Source organism: Homo sapiens, chromosome 19, assembly GCF_000001405.40.
Source record: "Homo sapiens chromosome 19, GRCh38.p14 Primary Assembly".
NCBI lineage: Eukaryota > Metazoa > Chordata > Mammalia > Primates > Hominidae > Homo > Homo sapiens.
In genome coordinates, this window is record NC_000019.10 from 57,713,599 (window position 1) to 57,734,793 (window position 21,195).

At 44.2% G+C, this 21,195-nt stretch overlaps 1 protein-coding gene and 1 long non-coding RNA gene across 5 annotated transcripts, besides 4 other annotated features; one reads left to right on the top strand and one right to left on the bottom strand.

Moving 5' to 3' along the window:
* Nucleotides 270–3,799, top strand: LOC124904783 (uncharacterized). The gene is made up of 2 exons (XR_007067359.1): nucleotides 270–313; nucleotides 3,569–3,799. It is a non-coding gene; the product is annotated as an uncharacterized LOC124904783 (long non-coding RNA).
* A 2,353-nt stretch (nucleotides 3,800–6,152) lies between these two features.
* Nucleotides 6,153–14,026, bottom strand: ZNF671 (zinc finger protein 671). 4 transcript variants are annotated; one of them, NM_001321376.2, is made up of 5 exons: nucleotides 13,793–14,026; nucleotides 10,828–10,865; nucleotides 9,616–9,742; nucleotides 8,718–8,840; nucleotides 6,153–8,099 (listed from the first exon to the last, which is right to left on the bottom strand). In NM_001321376.2, the coding sequence occupies exons 3-5, from the start codon at nucleotides 9,647–9,649 to the stop codon at nucleotides 6,883–6,885; spliced, it is 1,374 nt and encodes a 457-aa protein (NP_001308305.1). In that variant the 5' UTR covers nucleotides 9,650–9,742; nucleotides 10,828–10,865; nucleotides 13,793–14,026; the 3' UTR covers nucleotides 6,153–6,882. The 4 variants fall into 4 exon arrangements, with proteins under 4 accessions (NP_001308305.1, NP_079109.2, XP_016882803.1 ...); NM_024833.3 differs by lacking the exon at nucleotides 10,828–10,865; XM_017027314.2 differs by lacking the exons at nucleotides 10,828–10,865; nucleotides 13,793–14,026 and adding an exon at nucleotides 13,310–13,749.
* Nucleotides 13,725–14,225: an enhancer, noted in NCBI's record as "H3K27ac hESC enhancer chr19:58238691-58239191 (GRCh37/hg19 assembly coordinates)". NCBI's record gives its function as "activates a minimal SCP1, AML or CMV promoter by ChIP-STARR-seq in naive H9 embryonic stem cells {active_cell/tissue: H9 hESC(naive)}" and the evidence as "EXISTENCE:reporter gene assay evidence [ECO:0000049][PMID:30033119]".
* Nucleotides 13,743–14,182: an enhancer, noted in NCBI's record as "active region_15155". NCBI's record gives its function as "activates an Ori minimal core promoter by ATAC-STARR-seq in GM12878 lymphoblastoid cells {active_cell/tissue: GM12878}" and the evidence as "EXISTENCE:reporter gene assay evidence [ECO:0000049][PMID:35858748]".
* Nucleotides 14,179–14,404: a silencer, noted in NCBI's record as "fragment chr19:58239145-58239370 (GRCh37/hg19 assembly coordinates)". NCBI's record gives its function as "represses an EF-1alpha promoter that drives an FKBP-Casp9 reporter gene in an ReSE screen in K562 erythroleukemia cells {active_cell/tissue: K562}" and the evidence as "EXISTENCE:reporter gene assay evidence [ECO:0000049][PMID:32094911]".
* Nucleotides 14,323–14,372: an enhancer, noted in NCBI's record as "active region_15156". NCBI's record gives its function as "activates an Ori minimal core promoter by ATAC-STARR-seq in GM12878 lymphoblastoid cells {active_cell/tissue: GM12878}" and the evidence as "EXISTENCE:reporter gene assay evidence [ECO:0000049][PMID:35858748]".

Below are 21,195 nucleotides of genomic sequence, written 5' to 3' on the forward strand. Positions count from 1 at the left end.
AGGGTTTAAATCCAGGGCCAAGTATCATCCAGAGAATTTATTTTTATTTATTTATTTGACTCTCGTTTTGTCACCCAGGCTGGAGTACAGTGGCACGATCTCAACTCACTGCAACCTCTGCCTCCTGCGTTCAAGTGATTCTCTTGCCTCCACCTTGAGTAGCTGGGATTACAGGCACCCACCACCATGTCTGGCTAATATTTGTATTTTTTTTTAGTAGAGACGGGGTTTCACCATGATGTCCAGGCTGGTCTCGAACTCCTGACTTCAAGTGATCCACCAGCCTCAGCCTCCCAAAGTGCTGGGATTACAGGTATAAGCCACCATGTTCAGCCCATCCAGAGAATTTAAATGTTCTTCTGAGGGCAGAGTAAATGCATATTGGGGACTATCCCTAATGAATGAAAATTGGCTTTGGCTTCCTAATGGAAAAGAAGGCATGAGCCAAATCTAGTACAGAATACTGATCTCTCTGAGCTTGCAGCACAGCTTTAGTTGTTGATGCCATATCAGATATAGCTGATCAAATGGGGTGACATCAATTTATCAAGTCTTCCGTAATCTATAGTTAATTTACCAGATCCATCAGCTTTTCTTCCAGGCCATCCTAGACCGAGGCTGGAGTGCAGTGGTGCAAACATGGCTCACTGCATCCTCAAACTCCTGGCCTTGAGTGATCCTCCCCTCAGCCTCCTGAATAGTTAAGACTACAAGCATGTTCCACCACACTCAGCTAATACGTTTTCAAATTTTTTGTAGAGAGGAGGTCTCACTATGTTGCCCAAGCTGGTCTCAAACTGCTGGGCTCAAGTAATCCTCCTGCCCTGGCCTCCCAAAGTGTTGGGATTAGAGGTGTGAGCCACCGCACCCAGCCCATCCTAGACTACTAAATAGGGAATTTTAGTAATATACCTGCATCTAAAAGATCCTTAATTCAAGTCAACATTTATTTCCCCCAGGAATTCTATGGTGTTATAATCACTTGAGTGAGCTTAGCTGATTCTAAAGATTCCATCTAGCATGCTCAATTAACACAGGACTAAAAGCAGATTTACATGGCATCCTATCAATTCCAATAATGCCTTGTGGTAATGGTGAAGCAAAAATCATACATAATTTCTGTCCATAAATGCCTCTATAGACCATATTTCTCCAGCTGCAAGCCTTCTCTAGCTGTATCACTATGTTCGTGTAATTGTATTTCCTTTTAAGTTTACATTAGCTAACTAAGTTATAGCGACATCGATCATCAATTGTAGTAAAGTTTTCTCACTGCCTGCAGACCATTTACTTCATTCCAATGAAAGTGAACTTGAAGTCCCAGCTAGAGGTCATGAGACCCTAACAAGGTCATGAGATCCATTGTCAAAGGAAATTAAATTTTGGGACCCCAAACCCATTTAGCCAAGGGGAAAAGTCAAGCTGGGAACTGGGTCATGCAAACTTGCCTCTACCTTTTGGTTCCTAAATAAAATGGCTGCAAGATGAAAAGCTACCCACTTTCCCCATATTTTACCCACAAGGAAATTACTGGTGAGCTGTTAAAACTTCACCATGGTGGCCAGGCGTGGTGGCTCACGCCTGTAAGCCCAACACTTTGGGAGGCCAAGGCGGCTGGATCACGAGGTCAGGAGTTCAAGACCAGCCTGGCCAAGATGGTGAAACCCCATCTCTACTAAAAAAAAAAAAAAAAAAAAAAAAATACAAAAATTAGCCAGGTGTGGTGGCAGGTGCCTATAATCCCAGCTACTCGGGAGGCTGAGACAGGAGAATCACTTGAACCCAAGGGACAGAGGTTACAGTGAGCCGAGATCATGCCACCGCACTCCAGCCTGGGCGACAGAAGTGAAACTCCATCTAAAAACAAAAAAAAAAAAAAAAAGAAACAAACAAAAAACTTCACCATGGAAATGCAAACTGATAGTTTATCTTTACAGGTGCGGTCACCCCAGCCTGTCAGACACAAAATGCCTACCCCATTTCCTCTGTGTTATCTTATGTAAAATGCAGATTCCCCACATCTTTCTTTTGCCCCCTTTTTTAATGTGAAAACTGTGTGCTTCTCAATATCCCACCCTTTCCTCTTTAAATTTGGAGCCCTAAAAATCATCTTCAGAGAAAAGCATAGACTTGTCTCCCGGGTGGGTCGTTAACTTTGGCAAATAAGTCTCCAAAATGATTGAGACTTGTCTTGTCATTTTCTTCAATTGACATCATCATTCAGTCATAATACTCCCCATTTCTCTCCCTGGTTATAATCAGAGCAGGCTCTGAAGAGATTATACTTGTCACCTTTTTATAATTTTGACATTTTGAAAAATTATCAAGACTAGGGTGAATTAATTAGTTCCAGATCTTTCAGTAGACCAGTTATTTTTACAGGGATTCAATATTTTTAGTAACTACTCCATCTTCCTTTCTTGTTTAAGGTCATTTTTGATCAACCATCTAAACATTTTTATCCAATTCTGTTTTCCTGAGGTTTCTTCCATCTCTTTTTATTTATTTATGTATGTATTTATTTATTTATTTTGAGATGGAATTTCACTCTTGTTGCCCAGGCTGGAATGCAATGGTGCAATCTCGGCTCATCGCAACCTCTGCCTCCTAGGTTCAAGCAATTCTCCTGCCTCAGCCTCCTGAGTAGCTAGGATTACAGGCACGCGCCACAATGCTCGGCTAATTTTTTTGTATTTTTAGTAGAGATGGGGTTTTACCATGTTGGTCAGGCTGGTCTCCAACTCCTGACCTCAGGTGATCTGCCCACCTCACCCTCCCAAAGTGCTGGGATTACAGGCATGAGCCACCGCGCCAGGCTATCTCATCTCTTTTATTTTTAGTTACTTTTCTTCTGAATGATTCTTACTTTTCCCTCCCCCTCCAGTATTAAGTCTTATTCAAGACAGCTCAATAAGGAGGTCCATAACATCAAGCCTCATATCATGTTGCCTCCCCTTTTACCATGACATCAATTAGCTGGGTCTGCAGGATGGAGTTAGGAAAAGGTATGGTAGTGTACTTAACTACAGGCTAGAATCTACAGCTGGTATAGTTTAGATGTGTGTCCCTTCCAAATCTCATGTTGAAATGTGACCTCCAGTGTTGGAGGTGGGCCTAATGGGAGGTGTTTGGGTGTTTTGCAGGACATTTAGTTATCCCCTCCGACCCACAGACTCCAGGTCCTACTTATATTCTTCCTCCTGTTTGTGAGTGAATCACATAACTTGTGCAATCTCAATCCAAGGACTGGAAGCCAACCTATTCACAAAAAATCTTCCTCACCAGCCTCTACCATATTTCATTCTGCCCAATAACTCCTTAGCCATTATTATTTAAAATGGACTCAGAGATCATAGCAAATATCCCATTTTCATCACCAAATGAAAAAATTTCAAAAATGTAATTGAAAATACTCACAAAACTCCACAGAGAATACTCGCGTGAGGTTTTGTTAAGGCAAAGGATATGGTGCAGCAAGAGAAAGAATGCGTGCCCATATGCTATGTCAGACACAAATCCAGGCAGTTTTCCAGACTCCCATTCATACACTGATATGATTCACTTCCAGATCAAGCCACCAATATCTGAGAGAGAAATGCTGGCTTCAGGAGAGCTCAAGTCAGAGGATCCCAGCAGGGATTTTATACCCTTCTGGGGTAACACAGTTGAGCCAGAGTGCCTACCTAATCATGTATGCCAACCAGAAACCATCAGCAGTCAAACTTGCCCTCCATATTGTCATGGGATCTTCCAGATGTTAAACAATAATAATAAAGCTCACTGCATTTAAATGTCAAAATGAGATACCTAAAGTCCCTACAGACAAAACTAGAGCTTTTCCAGTCCAATTTTAAACTAATTCCATCTCACACAAAACAAGTGCACACTATATCAAAATTTGGGGGATACTGCTAAAGCAGTACTTACAGGGAAATTTATAGCCTATATTATTATACAAGAAGAGAGTTCACAAATAAATGACAGTTCATTTTAAGAAATTAGGAAAACCAGCCAGGCATGCTGGCTCATGCCTGTAATCCCAGTGCTTTGGGATCACTTGAAGCCAGGAGTTCAAGACCAGCTTGAGCAATACAGTGAGACTCCATCTCCAAAAACAAAAACAAACAAAAAAGTTAGCCAGGTGTGATGGCACATGCCTGTAATCGCAGCTACTTAGGAGGCTGAGGATTACTTGAGCCCAAGAGTTCAAGGTTACAGTAAGCTATCATAGTGCCACTGCATTCTATCCTGGGTTGACAGAGAGAGACCCTGTCTCAAAACAAAAAAGAAAACTGGGAAAACACAGACAAATCCTATAGGCAACCCTATATAGACTCTATCCTCTCTTGCCTCTTGCTTCAGGAGCAGCCCTGCCTCAGTGACAGCAAAAAGTGGCAACCAAGAAAGCTATTTCCACATGATTCACCAGGAACACTGGCTAAGTTGCAAAGCCATGTCCCTGAAATGCTAGATCTTCCTTCTTTCAATCTTGGTTTTCCTACCCACTTACACACCCAGCAATGGTCTTTTTTTTTTTCTTTTTTTTTTTTTTTTGAGACAGAGTCTCGTTCTGTCACCCAGGCTGGAGTGCAGTGGTGCGATCTCGGCTCACTGCAAGCTCCGCCTCCTGGGTTCATGCCATTCTCCTGCCTCAGCCTCCCAAGTAGCTGGGACTACAGATGCCCACCACCACGCCTGGCTAATTTTTTGTATTTTTAGTAGAGACGGGGCTTCACCGTGTTAGCCGGGATGGTTTCAATATCCTGACCTCGTGATCCGCCCGCCTCAGCCTCCTAAAGTGCTGGGATTACAGGCGTGAGCCACTGCACCCAGCCCCAGCAGTGGTCTTGAGTTGAGCCATCTAGAGTCTATGGGAATCCACAAAATGTTTAGATTTGCCCTGGGAGTGATGCTGACCACAAAAGAGACATAGCTGTGGAAGTTCTGAAACTTTCTGTATACTCTCATCCTATATAGCCATAGTATGGGAACATCTGAGCATGTACCTTTAGAAGTGGCACATCCCAGGCCAGGTGCGTGGCTCACGCCTGTAATCCCAGGACTCGGGAGGCCGAGGCAGGCGGATCACCTGAGGTCGGGAGTTTGAGACCAGCCTGACCAACATGGAGAAACCCTGTCTCTACTAAAAATACAAAATTAGGGCTGGGCGCAGTGGCTCACGCCCGTAATCCCAGCACTTTGGGAGGCCAAGGCGGGCGGATCACGAGGTCAGGAGATCGAGACCATCCTGGCTAACATGGTGAAACTCCGTCTCTACTAAAAAATACAAAAGAATTAGCCGGGTGTGGTGGCGGGCACCTTTAGTCCCAGCTACTCGGGAGGTGGAGGCAGGAGAATGGCAAGAACCTGGGAGGTGGAGCTTGCAGTGAGCCAAGATTGCACCACTGCACTCCTGCCTGGGCAACAGAGCCAGACTCCGTCTCAAAAAAAAAAAAAAAAATACAAAATTAGCCGGGCATAGGTGATGCATGCCTATAATCCCAGCTACTCAGGAGGCTGAGGCAGGACAGTCACTTGAACCCAGTAGGTGGAGGTTGCAGTGAGCCAAGATCACGCCATTGCACTCCAGCCTAGGCAACAAGAATGAAACTCCATCTCAAAAAAAAGAAGTGGCACATCCCTTGTAGTGTGCCGCAATCTCCTCAACTCCCTATTAGTCATACCCAGTGTTTCTATACCAATTATAATTACCACCTGGCTCCTAGAGGTCCTCCAGACAAGGACACCTGCCTATTAAATTCTGAACACAGACTCCTTGACAAGAAGCAGGGGCCAGCTTCCCAATAAGTGCTTGGAAATATGGAACACTGGATGGGAACCAGTGACCAAACTCATGCTCCCAGGTGCTCTAGAAGTTGTTACAACTGATCTCTCTTCATGGTTACCTCCAAACCTACAGTAAAACTGGCATCCAGGTCACATGATTTGTCTCCCAAAGCCCTGCAGTCTGTCTTAGAAGGGCTTGAACAGCAACACAAATTAGGTCAAAGCTGTAATCAGAGCTGTTCTCTGCCATTTGCTCTAAGGGACAGAAAACAAGGACTCCCACAAAAGCTGTTAACTTGTTCATGCTGAGAACACACCTGTTTCCTCAATAGACTCCAAACAATAAACAGAACCCACAACATTAATGGTGGCTTAAAGAACAGGCCTTTATTATCATGAGCAATGTGAAGCAGGCAGTTCCAGAGCTGGGTGACTTGGATATTGGATATATCCATAACGAGCATCATATGAAATCAATCAACACAGGTAAGTCTCTGCAGGCTATTTGCAGAATCCTTCTGTGTCCTCTTGAACAAAGCTGATTATTTCCATGCCATTTACATCAAAAGAGAGGAAATTAAGACCCCTAGTGGGCTGTGAGACCACTCACAACACCTTTTAGGGACTGGGGAGAGAAGAGAGGTCTGCCCGTCACAAGCATGCTGGGGTAAATGGTAAACGCAGTATGATTCTGCCAGATGGTAGGAGCAGATGGCTCCTGCCCCAGCAAAGGCCAATAGCCATTTAAAAAGTGCAACACAGCTGCTGAAAGCATCTCACATACTTGACACTCACAGGGAATCTCCCCAGTGGGAATGTCCATATCTATGAAGTTTCACTTCTTACTGATGGTTCCCTCCCAATGGCTGCTCCCAGAGTTCCACTCTAGGGTGAGCTGTTGGGCTGAACAGAGACAGCACATTGCTTAGACTGCTAAGGCCTGTGTCCGGTGTGAAATTCCCAATGGCGGGTAAGGTTCAGCCTCCAGGGGAAGGCTTTCCTGCATCTGCTGCACTCATTAACTACTGCTAGTTCCCCACCATATAGTAAGTCAGGGGCATTGGCCTAAGACTTTCCCCCACATTTGCTACACTCTTAAAGCTTTTCTCCAGCATGAACCCTCTGGTGCAGAACAAGTGTCTGTTTCCGGATGAATTCTCTCCCGCACTCACTACACACATAAGGCCTTTCCCCAGTGTGGACTTTCCAGTGCCTGATGAGGTTGGGTCTTTGAGTGAAGGCTTTCCCGCACTTGCTGCACTCATAAGGCTTTTCTCCAGAGTGAACTTTCTGGTGCTGAATGAGTTTGGAGATGCAGCTGAAAGCTTTACCACATCTGCTACACTCATAATCACTGCTGTGAATTCTCCAGTGTACATTAAGGTGGGAGCTTTGGCTAAAGGCCTTCCCACATTCACTGCACTCATAAGGCCTTTCTCCAGTGTGAGTTCGTTGGTGCAGAACAAGTGTGTGTTTCCGACTGAACTCTTTCCCACATTCGCTGCATACATAAGGCCTGGCTCCTGTGTGAACTTCCTGGTGTCGAATGAGATTAGACTTACTGCTAAAAAATTTCCCACATTTGCCACACTGATAGAGTCTTTCACCCGTGTGAACTCGCCTGTGCTCAATCAGGCCGGAGATTTGTCTAAAGAATTTCCCACATTCGCTGCACTCGTATGGCCTTTCTCCAGTGTGAACTGTCTGGTGTTTAAAGAGGTCATAGCTTTGGCTGAAGAATTTCCCACATTCGTTACACTCATAAGGCCTTTCTCCAGTGTGGATTCTCTGATGCCGAGCAAGTGTGTCTTTGCGGGTGAAGGCTTTCCCACATTCACCACACCTGTGATACCTCTGTCCCATGAGAAAGCCACTCACAAGCTTAGTGCTCTTGTGGGGCTTCATGCTGCTGAGAGAGGCCTGATGCTGAAGAAGGCCAGATGTGGCTGAAAAGTCTCTCCTACCTTTCCCACATGTGAGGGTCTTCTCTGGCACATGGACTCTGCAGCTTTTCACAGAGTCTCTGCCCTCCTTCCTTGGGAAAAGTTTCCCTCCATTGGGCTGGTTCTGGTGCTGGTCAAAGTCTGTACTGAACCAGAATTGCTTTCCACATGCCCCACACAAGTATGGTTTCTGCCTGGCTTTTCCCCCATGGTATTTAGCCAGGTGTAAGGTATCTTTCAATATTGGGCCACATATGTCACATGGGTGAGACTCCAGCTCTGCCATGAGAGTCCTGACCTCTGACACTCCTGCTACAAAAATGCTCTGCTCAGAAGATACCTCTTCATCCTCCACTCCATGCCAACAACCTGAAGAACACACAAATGCTGATTAAATGCATATTTACGGGTGGGAAGGGGCAACCTCATTGTATATGTGCATTTGACACATGCAGGAATAAGTTCATGAAACTGTTTTCAGAATGAGAGGCATGGTCAGAGTGAGGAAGGAATGGCTTTGAGGTAGTGAGCCTCTGGAGGTCATACCATGGGGGAGTGCCAATGAAGGGCCAGGATATAAGAATGGAACCAAACAAATGGCTTCCAGTAGGGCCTTGACTGTTAGTGACTCGTGAGTGCTATGAAAAATGTATCCAGTCCCAGGAAAATCCAACTACAAGTGAGCAGCTGGTGTTCAAAGACTATTTAAGAATATATGCACATCTTGTGAACATTAATTGCAGGTCAATACTGCCAAAAAATGTAGACAGAGAAGTGGTGAAACATGGGTGTAAGGTGAAGGCCAGAGGTGAGGGTGGCAAGGGGCTAACAAACTAGAAATGATATATCTTCGTGTCAAGAACAGGAAAGGACAGATAGAAACGCTGTGTGGCCACTGGCCCTGGAAACAAACACTGATGTGAACAGTTAATGTTGCCAGTTTTGAACCCAGCTTTGACATCGTGCCCTTCCCCGATGTCCACTCACCAGGTCTAAGTCCCCTCTGGGCCTCTCTTTCTGTGGCTGAAGTCATATCCACCTGGTCATACACCCAGGGCTCTTCTCCTCGCTCTAGTTTCATGACTGCACGTGATCTGGAAAATGCAATTCCTAAGGGAAAGTCAGAACAGGTGAGCAGCCAGCACTGGCCCATGGCAAACCACCCTATGATGGACTTCAGGTAAGAAAAATAACCTGGGAGGAGTTGTGCAGGAATAACCCAAAGGTCCCTATAAGTGACTATGTAAGTGCCTATAACTCCTGACAAGGTCAGGCCCTAGAAGATGTCACCTGAGCTGGGCGCAGTGGCTCACACCTGTAATCTAACACTTTCAGAAGTCAAGTCAGGGTATTACTTGAGCTCAGGAGTTCAAGACCAGCCTGGGCAACATGGCAAAACCACATCTCTACAGAAAAATTAGCTGGGCGTGGTGGTGTGTGTCTGTAGTCCCAACTATTCAGGAGGCTGAGATGAGAGGATGGCTTGAGCCTGGGAGGTAGAGGTTGCAATGAGCTGAGATCATGCCACTGCACTCCAGCTTGGGCAACAGAGCCAGACCCTGACTCAAAAAAAAAAAGAAAAGAAAATGTCACCTGGAGAAAGGGACAGAACCTTGGGCACAGAGGCATCATAATTTTGGACAGAGTCACCAGTACAGAAAGCGAACAGACCTAGTGAGATCCACTGGGCAAACCACAAGTCTCATGACCCCAAACCCTTGGCTGCACGGCTTCAGGACTACTCAGCAAGTAGGGAGGACACTCCATACAGCTTAGCCCTGGCATCTTGAGCACCTACTCCAGGAAACTGGTGAAGGAAGCGGTGCTCATGATCCCACCATAGGAAGAACAGAGTGGTAAAGGCAGAAAAGCATGAGGACCTTACCCAGTGAGGCTAAAAGTGCAAAGTTCTCCAGCATCACATCATGGTACAAAAGTCTCTGAGCATCATCAAGAAGCTCCCATTCTTCCCGAGAGAAGTATACAAACACATCCTCAAAGACCACACAGCCCTGCAACAAAAGGGACAGGAAGGACCATAAAAAGTCTCTTGACCAATGATCCCCAGTCTACCTACCCACAACATCCTGCTAACTAACCTCCCAGGTTCCCAAGTCAGAGATACCAGGCACTAGTACCACTGATCCTCACTCTCTCCTGATCACCCCAGCAATCACTGTGTCAGCCCACCACAACAACAGACAGGCTGACAGATAAATGCCATTTACACTCTGAGCCAGCCAACTCCCCTGGGGTACCCAAGATCACAAATCCCAGGTATGAACCTAGGCTCATTTTTCTCAGTTAAGCCCCAAGTCACAGGACCGTCAGCTCACACTCCCTCCTCTCATACACATCACTCTGGACTATGTCTCCCTCACATCTCCAGCTTCCCCCCCACCCTACTGGCCCACCCCATCTCCCTGGACTCCCCAAATGTCACTCTACACATAGCATTAAGAGTGCTTGCCGAAGGCAGATCACGAGGTCAAGAGAGCGAGACTATCCTGGCCAACATGGTGAAACCCCGTCTCTACTAAAAAAAAAAAAAAAAAAAATACAAAAATTAGCTGGGCATGGTGGTGTGTGCCTGTAGTCCCAGCTACTTGGGAGGCTGAGGAAGGAGAACTGCTTGAACCTGGGAGGCAGAGGTTGCAGTGAGCTGAGATCATGCTACTACACTCCAGTCTGGCGACAGAGTGAGACTCCATCTCAAAAAAAAAAAAAAAAAGTGCTTGCCAACAATCAGTATCCCATCTTGCTCCAAACCATCAATGGCCCCATTGCCAAGGAAAGCCCTATTGTTGCTCTGAAAGCCTCCCAATCTGGCCCTGTTCCTTTTTTCAATCACAGGCACCTCAAACCACATGCAGATCTCAGGTATCCTCAACCCTCTTCCATTTCTTTGTTGCACATTGTACCACTGTTTGATATGGATTGGATGTGTATCCCCTACAAATCTCATGTTGAAATGCAACCCCTAGTGCTGGAGGCCCAGGGAAGCCAAAAGATTGGACACCCCTGATTTAAAGTGAGAGATGTGTAACTACTCCTTTAACTTGAACTCTTAGAGGCCACTGTAGGGTTATTAACTGACCTGATTTCAATATTGCTGTGTGTCAGGGAATAGGAACGCTTAAAGAGAGGGAGAAGGATGGGGATCAGCTGGTCAGTGAGGCAGTCAGAAGACACATAACAATTTTTTTTTTTTTTTTTAGACAGATTCTTGCACTGTTGCCCAGGCTGGAGTGCAGTGGCACGATCTTGGCTCACTGCAAGCTCCATCTCCCAGGTTCACACCATTCTCCTGCCTCAGCCTCCCGAGTAGCCGGGACTACAGGCGCCCACCACCATGCCCGGCTAATTTTTTGTATTTTCAGTAGAGACAAGGTTTCACCATGTTAGCCAGGATGGTCTTGATCTCCTGACCTCGTGATCCACCCGCCTCGGCCTCCCAAAGTGCTGGGATTACAGGTGTGAGCCACTGCGCCTGGCCGACTTTAGGCATTTGACACAGATCTCTAACTAACTTAATGCAGGCAGCAGGAGATAAATACCCATGCTCAGCTGCATCATGAAAACGGAAGAAACTGGAACACATTCAACACCCTCAACACATTCCAGCTACATCAAAAGAGTCTGGTTCCTACCTTCTGGCCTTAGGATAATGACAGAATGTAGTACATCCTAAGTTCCAGAGAGTTACCAAAAACAGAGACAGCATTCTGGACAAACACAAAGATTAGAGAAGCACCTTAAATCTTTGGCCAGATGGATTCGTGAGATCCTTCTACTACACTAGGCAAGACTGGGAGAAGTAGTGAACTTTTTTTTTTTTTTGAAATGGGGTCTCAGCCAAGCATGATGACTCACACCTGTAATCCCAGCACTTTGGGAGGCCGAGGCGGGTGGATCTCCTGAGGGCAGGAGTTCGAGACCAGCCTGGCCAACATCGTGAAACCCCGTCTCTACCAAAAATACAAACAAATTAGCTGGGCGTGGTGGCGGGTGCCTGTAATTCCAGCTACTCAGGAGGCAGACAAGAGAATTGCTTGAACCCAGAAGGCAGAGGTTGCGGTGAGCCGAGATTGTGCCACTGCACTCCAGCCTAGGAAACGTGGTGAAACCCCGTCTCTACTAAAAATGGAAAAATTAGCGGGGTGTGGTGGTGGGCACCTGTAATCCCAGCTACTCGGGAGGCTGAGGTAGGAGAACTGCTTGAACCCAGGAGACAGGTTGCAGTGAGCCGAGATCGCGCCACTGCACTCCAGCCTGGGTGACAAGAGCAAGACTCCATCTCAAAAAAACAAAACAAAACAAAACCTGGCCAAGGCATGGTGGCTCACTCTTGTAATCCCAGCACTTTGGGAGGCCGAAGGGAGTGGATCAACTGAGGTCACGAGTTTGAGACCAGCCTGGCCAACATGGTGAAACTCTATCTAATAAAATACAAAAATTAGCTGGGCATGGTGATGCATGCCTGTAATCCCAGCTACTGGGAAAACTGAGGCAGGAGAATCACTTGAATCTGGGAGGCAGAAGCTGCAGTGAGCCAAGATCGCACCATTGCACTCCAGCCTGGGTGACAGAGCGAGACTCGTCTCCAAAAAAAAAATAAATAAATAAAATAAAACCAAAGCCAAGTGCAGTGGCTCACAACTGTAATCCAAACACTTTGGAAGGCTGGGGCCGGTGGATCAGTTGAGGTCGGGAGTTCAAGACCACCTGGGCCAACACGGTGAACGTCCCCCCCACTCCCCCGCCCCCACCCCACCCCTCCCACCTCCCCACCCCACCCCACCCCTCCCACCTCCCCACCCCCGTCTCTACTATAAATACTAAAATTAGCCAGGGGTGGTTGTGGGCACCTGTAATCTCAACTACTTGGGAGGCTGAGGCGGGAGAATCTCTTGAACCCGGGAGGTAGAGGTTGCAATAAGCCACTGCATCCCACCCTGGGCGACAGAGTGAGACTTCGTCTCAAAAAAAATAAAAAAAATAAATAAACTAAAACTAAAAGAAAACACACAAAATGAGGGTGAGATAATCAGATAGTAGCAATAGCACACCACCCATCGTTGCCATCCCAGGCCAAACTCCTCATACCCTACAGCTCTCTCCTCCTGCAAACACTGAAAAGAACCCTTTCAAATGGCAGGACCCTTCTCTTCTGGGGGGAGTCTCAAGAATGCCCACTCCCTCTTCCCTGCCCTGCAGTCCCAGCCTTCTCATCTCTTACCCCAGAGATATGAAATAACATACTTAAGACTGCCCCACTTAAATCTGACCTCCTGGCCTTGACCTACTCCAGACCGCTCCCTTCACCCCAAAGATATTCTAAGCCCAGCCCCTTCCCCACAACTTCAGACCTTCCTCTCTAGTTGCCTAAGTGAGGAAGCCTCCACTCTGAGACATCTCAAAGTCACCATTCCAAAATCCAAACGTTCATGGAAAAACAACAAAAACACCTTGCTCTTTCATGCCTTACTTTCAGTCATAGCTGCATATGATGGAGCAGAAAATCCTGTTGGTTTCAAATTTAAAACCTACCCAGAATATGATCACTTCTACCCACTCACCTGCCATTACTCTTGGTACATCCACCACCAAAGCATTCCTGGAATCCACTGCAGTAGCCTCCTTACCGGTCTCCTCGTATCCATCCTCGCAGTCCCCACCCCAAACTAATGTTCTCCCCTGAGCAAATTTCGAGACACTTAAAATCCCAGCTAAGATCACGTCCTTCTATTCAAAACCCTCAGTTAATCTCAACGCCCTCAGAATGAAGCGACAACTTCTCAGCCTGCCATTCCAGTCACAGTTCCTCAAACTCTGCTCTGTGTTGATGAGAACCCTGTCTCCCAAATGTTTGGGGGTCAGCAGCACCCCCGAGCCTTTACCTGCGCCGTCCCCTCCGCCCGTAACTCTCCCACACCCACCCACACCGAGATAGGACCCCGCCCCAAGAGTGCGTCGCTGTCCTGGGACACAGGGGCTGCAGGCACTTTACGATTCGGAGTCGGAGAAAGGGTGACTGAGGGCCCGGAGGACGCAGCACCCACCCGCGCGGAGTCCGTTAGCTCCGCCATAGGACCGTGGGCGCGGACAGCTGCCGGGAGCGGCAGGCGTCTCGATCGGGGACGCAGGCACTTCCGTCCCTGCAGAGCATCAGACGCGTCTCGGGACACTGGGGACAACATCTCCTCCGCGCTTTCCCAACACCTCCACCTGCGGCCCACACAAGCGTTACAGAACCCCGGCCAGGGACAGCCTGACAGAAACAAAATGTCCGCTACAAGGAGGAGCCGGAAGTCCCGCCCACGCACCCCCCGCAGGCACTGAAACACCCCTCTCCTGGGCCCTCATTGGGTATGCAACGTATAGGTTTGTGGGTAGAGTGTGGTTCCCACTGAGCTATCCTTCAAGGCAGGGGATTCTCGGCCTGGGCTCTTGGGAAAACTCGAAGTAGGAGGGCCAAGTTGTTTGGGAAAAGTAACCCGAGTTTCAAAGGGCTGACAGGACTTCCGTCCTCTTTTTTTTTTTTTTTTTTTTTTTTGAGACAGAGTCTCGCTCTGTCTCCCAGGCTGCAGTGCAGTGGCGCGATCTCGGCTGACTGCAACCTCCGCCTCCCGGGTTCAAGCGATTCTCCTGCCTCAGCCTCCCAAGTAATTGGGACTACAGGGGCCCGCCACCACGCCAGGCTAATTTTAGTACTTTTAGCAGAGTACGGGATTTCACCATGTTGGCCAGGCTGGTCTCGAACTCCTGACTTTGTGATTTGCCTGCTTCGGCCTCCCAAAGTGCTGGGATTACAGGAGTGAGCCATGGTGCCCGGCTGACTTCTGTCCTCTTAAAAGGCCTGGACCTAGATTCCCTGGAGTGTAGTATGCACCGATCGCAGAAATGTTGAGACATTTCAGATGTTCCCCAAAGCTGCAAAACTAAATAGATACACCACACCACAATGTCTCTTTGCGTACACTCACAGCTAGAAGCTAATAACTATTACCTTGTTGCTTTTTAAATATGTGTGCACTCAAGCTTTACAGTAACTTTTGTGAGCTTCAGTTTGGTCAGAGACGGAAGAGAAAATATTCCAAACAAGGCCTTGGAGTGGAAGAAGGAAGAGGGATGATGTGGAGTCTCCCTGAAACCAGTGGACAGATTTCTTCAGAAAACTCTTCCTGCCTGGGTAATCAGTGATGTCTCCATCACAGCAAAACACAGTGCAATTACCATTTAACCTGTCATTGTCATTGTAAGTATGGTGTCTGTGTTAGGAGGTGAGATTATCCCCGGGGGAAAAATCCTGACAGCTATTAATAATGATTCCGTAGTTATTTGAAGATAATGAAAGAAATTGCTCTAAGGAAATATCTGTGATAGATGGACAAAGTTAAGATCTCAGTAAAGTTTGAGCCTGAATACTAAAGTATAAGTGAAAGAATGAAGTTAAGCATATGGTTGTGTTGTGATCTTGACCACACTTTGTCAACAAAATGTGACTCTTTTTTCCTGAAAATGCTGAGCAATTGTAAAGAAGATATCAGAATGGTAAAAATCAACAGTGAAGTTGTGCTGTCTTGATAATTCACTGTTAAAATACACATCCAAGGAACACATACGAGCTCTCAGTAGGTGTTTTTCAAATGTGTTAGTAGCATGAAAGACATCACTAATAAAATTTCCAAGATTCCTATACATACAGGACATGTCCTGCATATAATGATTTTTGTCCTGCATCACCTTTTGACTTTGTCACAATACCCTAAATAAATATTCTAAAGAAGGCAACAGTCTTAAAGAAAAGAATTTTCAACCCGGAATTTCATATCCAGCCAAACTAAGCTTCATAAGTGAAGGAGAAATAAAATACTTTACAGACAAGCAAATGCTGAGAGATTTTGTCACCACCAGGCCTGCCCTAAAAGAGCTCCTGAAGGAAGCACTAAACATGGAAAGGAACAACTGGTACCAGCCACTGCAAAAACATGCCAAATTGTAAAGACCATCAAGGCTAGGAAGAAACTGCATCAACTAATGAGCAAAATAACCAGCTAACATCATAATGACAGGATCAAATTCACACATAACAATACTAACCTTAAATGTAAATGGGCTCAATGCTCCAATTAAAAGGCACAGACTGGCAAATTGGATAAACAGTCAAGACCCATCTGTGTGCTGTATTCAGGAAACCCATCTCACATGCAGAGACACACATAGGCTCAAAATAAAGGGATGGAGGAAGATCTACCAAGCAAATGGAAAACAAAAAAAGGCAGGGGTTGCAATACTACTCTCGGATAAAACAGACTTTAAACCAACAAAGATCAAAAGAGACAAAGAAGGCCATTACATAATGGTAAAGGGATCAATTCAACAAGAAGAACTAACTATCCTAAATATATATGCACCCAATACGGGAGCACCCAGATTCATAAAGCGAGTCCTTAGTGACCTACAAAGAGACTTAAACTCCCACACAATAATAATGGGAGACTTTAACACCCCACTGTCAACATTAGACGGATCAACAAGACAGAAAGTTAACAAGGATATCGAGGAATTGAACTCAGCTCTGCACCAAGCGGACCTAATAGACATCTACAGAACTCTCCACCCCAAATCAACAGAATATACATTTTTTTTCAGCACCACACTACACCTATTCCAAAATTGACCACATAGTTGGAAGTAAAGCACTCCTCCGCAAATGTAAAAGAACAGAAATTATAACAAACTGTCTCTCAGACCACAGTGCAATCAAACTAGAACTCAGGATTAAGAAACTCATTCAAAACCACTTAACTACATGGAAACTGAACAACCTGCTCCTGAATGACTACTAGGTACATAACGAAATGAAGGCAGAAATAAAGATGTTCTTTGAAACCAACGATAACAAAGACACAACATACCACAATCCTGGGACACGTCCAAAGCAGTGTGTAGAGGGAAATTTATAGCACTAAATGCCCACCAGAGAAAGCAGGAAAGATCTAAAATTGACACCCTAACATCCAATTAAAAGAACTAGAGAAGCAAGAGCAAACACATTCAAAAGCTAGCAGAAGGCAAGAAATAACTAAGATCAGAGCAGAACTGAAGGAAATAGAGACACAAAAAACCCTTCAAAAAATCAATGAATCCAGGAGCTGGTTTTTTGAAAAGATCAACAAAATTGATAGACCACTAGCACGACTAATAAAGAAGAAAAGAGAGAAGAATCAAATAGATGCAATAAAAAAAGACAAAGGGGATAACAGCACCCATCCCACAGAAATACAAACTACCATCAGAGAATACTATAAACACCTCTACGCAAATAAACTAGAAAATCTAGAAGAAATGGACAAATTCCTCGACACATACACTCTCCCAAGACTAAACCAGGAAGAAGTTGAATCTCTGAATAGACCAGGCTCTGAAATTGAGGCAATAATTAATAGCTTACCAACCAAAAAAAGTCCAGGACCAGATGGATTCACAGCCGAATTCTACCAGAGGTACAAGGAGGAGCTGGTGCCATTCCTTCTGAAACTATTCCAATCAATAGAAAAAGAGGGAATCCTCCCTAACTCATTTTATGAGGCCAGCATCATCCTGATACCAAAGCCTGGCAGAGATGCAACAAAAAAAGAGAATTTTAGACCAATATCCTTGATTAACATTGATGCAAAAATCCTCAATAAAATACTGGCAAACCGAATCCAGCAACACATCAAAAAGCTTATCCACCATGATCAAGTGGGCTTCATCCCAGGGGTGCAAGGGTGGTTCAACATACGAAAATCAATAAACGTAATCCAGCATATAAACAGAACCAAAGACAAAAACCACAGGATTATCTCAATGGATGCAGAAAAGGCCTTTGACAGAATTCAACAACCCTTCATGCTAAAAACTCTCAATAAATTAGATATTGATGGTAACGTATCTCAAAATAATAAGAGCTATCTATGACAAACCCACAGCCAATATCATACTGAATGGACAAAAACTGGAAGCACTCCCTTTGAAAACTGGCACAAGACAGGGATGCCCTCTCTCACCACTCCTATTCAACATAGTGTTGGAAGTTCTGGCCAGGGCAATCAGGCAGGAGAAGGAAATAAAGGGCATTCAATCAGGAAAAGAGGAAGTCAAATTGTCCCTGTTTGCAGATGACATGATTGCATATCTAGAAAACCCCATCGTCTCAGCCCAAAATCTCCTTAAGCTGATAAGCAACTTCAACAAAGTCTCAGGATACAAAATCAATGTGCAAAAATCACAAGCATTCTTATGCACCAATAACAGACAAACAGAAAGCCAAATCATGAGTGAACTCCCATTCACAATTGCTTCAAAGAGAATAAAATACCTAGGAATCCAACTTACAAGGGATGTGAAGGACCTCTTCAAGGAGAGCTACAAACCACTGCTCAATGAAATAAAAGAGGATACAAACAAATGGAAGAACATTCCATGCTCATGGGTAGGAAGAATCAATATCGTGAAAATGGCCATACTGCCCAAGGTAATTTATAGATTCAATGCCATCCCCATCAAGCTACCAATGACTTTCTTCACAGAATTGGAAAAAACTACCTTAAAGTTCATATGGAACCAAAAAAGAGCCCGCATTGCCAAGTCAATCCTAAGCCAAAAGAACAAAGCTGGAGGCATCATGCTACCTGACTTCAAACTATACTACAAGGCTGCAGTAACCAAAACAGCATGGTAGTGGTACCAAAACAGAGATATAGACCAATGGAACAGAACAGAGCCCTCAGAAATAATGCCGCATATCTACAACTATCTGATCTTTGACAAACCTGAAAAAACAAACAATGGGGAAAGGATTCCCTATTTAATAAATGGTGCTGGGAAAACTGGCTAGCCATATGTAGAAAGCTGAAACTGGATCCCTTCCTTACATCTTATACAAAAATTAATTCAAGATGGATTAAAGACTTAAATGTTAGACCTAAAACCATAAAAACCCTAGAAGAAAACCTAGGTAATACCATTCAGGACATAGGCATGGGCAAGGACTTCATGTCTAAAACACCAAAAGCAATGGCAACAAAAGCCAAAATTGACAAATGGGATCTAATTAAGCTAAAGCACTTCTGCACAGCAAAAGAAACCACCATCAGAGTGAACAGGCAACCTACAGAATGGGAGAAAATTTTTACAACCTACTTATCTGACAAAGGGCTAATATCCAGAATCTACAATGAACTCAAACAAATTTATAAGAAAAAAAACAACCCCATCAAAAAGTGGGCAAAGGATATGAGCAGACACTTCTCAAAAGAAGATATTTATGCAGTCGAAAAACACATGAAAAAATGCTCATCATCACTGGCCATCAGAGAAATGCAAAACAAAACCACAATGAGATACCATCTGACACCAGTTAGAATGGCGATCATTAAAAAATCAGGAAACAACAGGTGCTGGAGAGGATGTGGAGAAATAGGAACACTTTTACATTGTTGGTGGGACTGTAAACTAGTTCAACCATTGTGGAAGTTGGTGTGGCGATTCCTCAGGGATCTAGAACTAGAAATACCATTTGACCCAGCCATCCCATTACTGGGTATATACCCAAAGGATTATAAATCATGCTGCTATAAAGACACATGCACGTGTATGTTTATTGTGGCACTATTCACAATAGCAAAAACTTGGAACCAACCCAAATGTCCAACAATGATAGACTGGATTAAGAAAATGTGGCACATATACACCATGGAATACTATGCAGCCATAAAAAATGATGAGTTCATGTCCTTTGTAGGGACATGGATGAAGCTGGAAACCATCATTCTCAGCAAACTATCACAAGGACAAAAAACCAAACACTGCATGTTCTCACTCATAGGTGGGAATTGAACAATGAGAACACATGGACACAGGAAGGGGAACATCACACACTGGGGCTTGTTGTGGGGTGGGGGGATGGGGGAGGGATAGCATTAGGTGATATAACTAATGCTAAATGATGAGTTACTGGGTGCAGCACACCAACATGGCACATGTATACATATGTAACAAACCTGCACGTTGTGCCCATGTACCCTAAAACTTAAAGTATAATAATAATTTTAAAAAAGTCTATTCAAAGGGATAATATCGAGAATTTCCCAAAGATATTAGGAAGGATTATCTTTCCAAGAGAAAGATATCAATATTCAAGTACAAGAAGGCCGTAGAATACCAAGCAGATTTAACCCAAAGAAGACTACCTCAAGACATTTAGTAATCAAATTACCAAAGGTCAAGGGTAAAGAAAGGATCCTAAAAGCAGCAAAAGAACAGAAACAACACACAAAGGAGCTCCAATATGCCTGGTAGAAGACTTCCCAGTATAAACCTTATAGGCCAGGAGAGAGTGGCATGATGGATTTAAAGTGCTGAAGGAAAAAACTTTTATCCTAGAATAGTGTATTTGCTGAAAGTATCCTTCAAACATGAAAGAGAAATAAAAACTCTTCTGGATGAACAAAAGCTGAAAGATTTTTGTCAACACCAGACTTGTCTTACAAGAAATGTTAAAGGGAGTTCTGCAATCTAAAAGGATGTTAATGAGCAACAAGAAATCATCTGAAGGCACGAAACTCACTGGTAATAGTAACTACACAGAAAAAAAAAACAATATAGTAGCAATGTAACTGTGATGTGTAAACTCATATCTTGAGTAGAAAGACTAAAATATGAACCTATCAAAAACAATTCCAACAAGTTTTCAAGACATAGACAGTACAATAAGATATACATAGAAACAAAAAATTTAAAAGCTGGGTGACATAGTTAAAGTGTAATGTTTTTATTAGTTTTTCTCTTGTTTGTTATTTGTTTATGGGATCAGTGTTGTCATCAGTTTAAAATAATGGGTTATAAGATATAGTTTACCATGGAAGCTTCATGGTAAACTAAATTCAAAAACCTACAACAGATACCAAAAAATTTTTTAAAAAGAAATTAAAATATACAACCAGAGAAAATCACCTTCACAATAAGGAAGACAGGAAGGAAGGAAAGAAGGAAGAGAAGACCACCAAACAACATGGCAGCAGTAAATCCTTACTTATTAATAAAACATTGAATATAAATGGACTAAAGTCTCCAATCAAAACACACAGAGTTGCTGAATGAATAAAAATAAAGACCCAATGCTCTATTGCATACAAGAAACACCCTTCACCTATAAAGACACACATAGATTAAAATAAAAGGATGGAAAAAGATATTTCATGCCACTGGAAACGACGAAATAGCAGGAATAACTACATGTATATCAGAAAAATAGATTTCAAGAGAAAAACTGTGAAAAGAGACAAAGTCATTATATATAATGCTAAAGGGATCAATTCAGCAAGAGGACATAATCTTTGTAAATATATATACACTCAACACTGGAGCACCCAGATATAAAAGTAAATATTATTAGAGCTAAAGAGACAGATAGAGT

Coding starts and splice junctions, on each gene's coding strand:
- ZNF671 (NM_024833.3), bottom strand. CDS start 13,930: ATGTTGTCCCCAGTGTCCCGAGACGCGTCTGATGCTCTGCAGGGACGG. Junction 8,841..9,615: donor TGCACTTTTAGCCTCACTGG/GTAAGGTCCTCA, acceptor ACTTTCCCTTAG/GAATTGCATTTTCCAGATCA. Junction 8,100..8,717: donor CCAGAGGGGACTTAGACCTG/GTGAGTGGACAT, acceptor TGTGTTCTTCAG/GTTGTTGGCATGGAGTGGAG.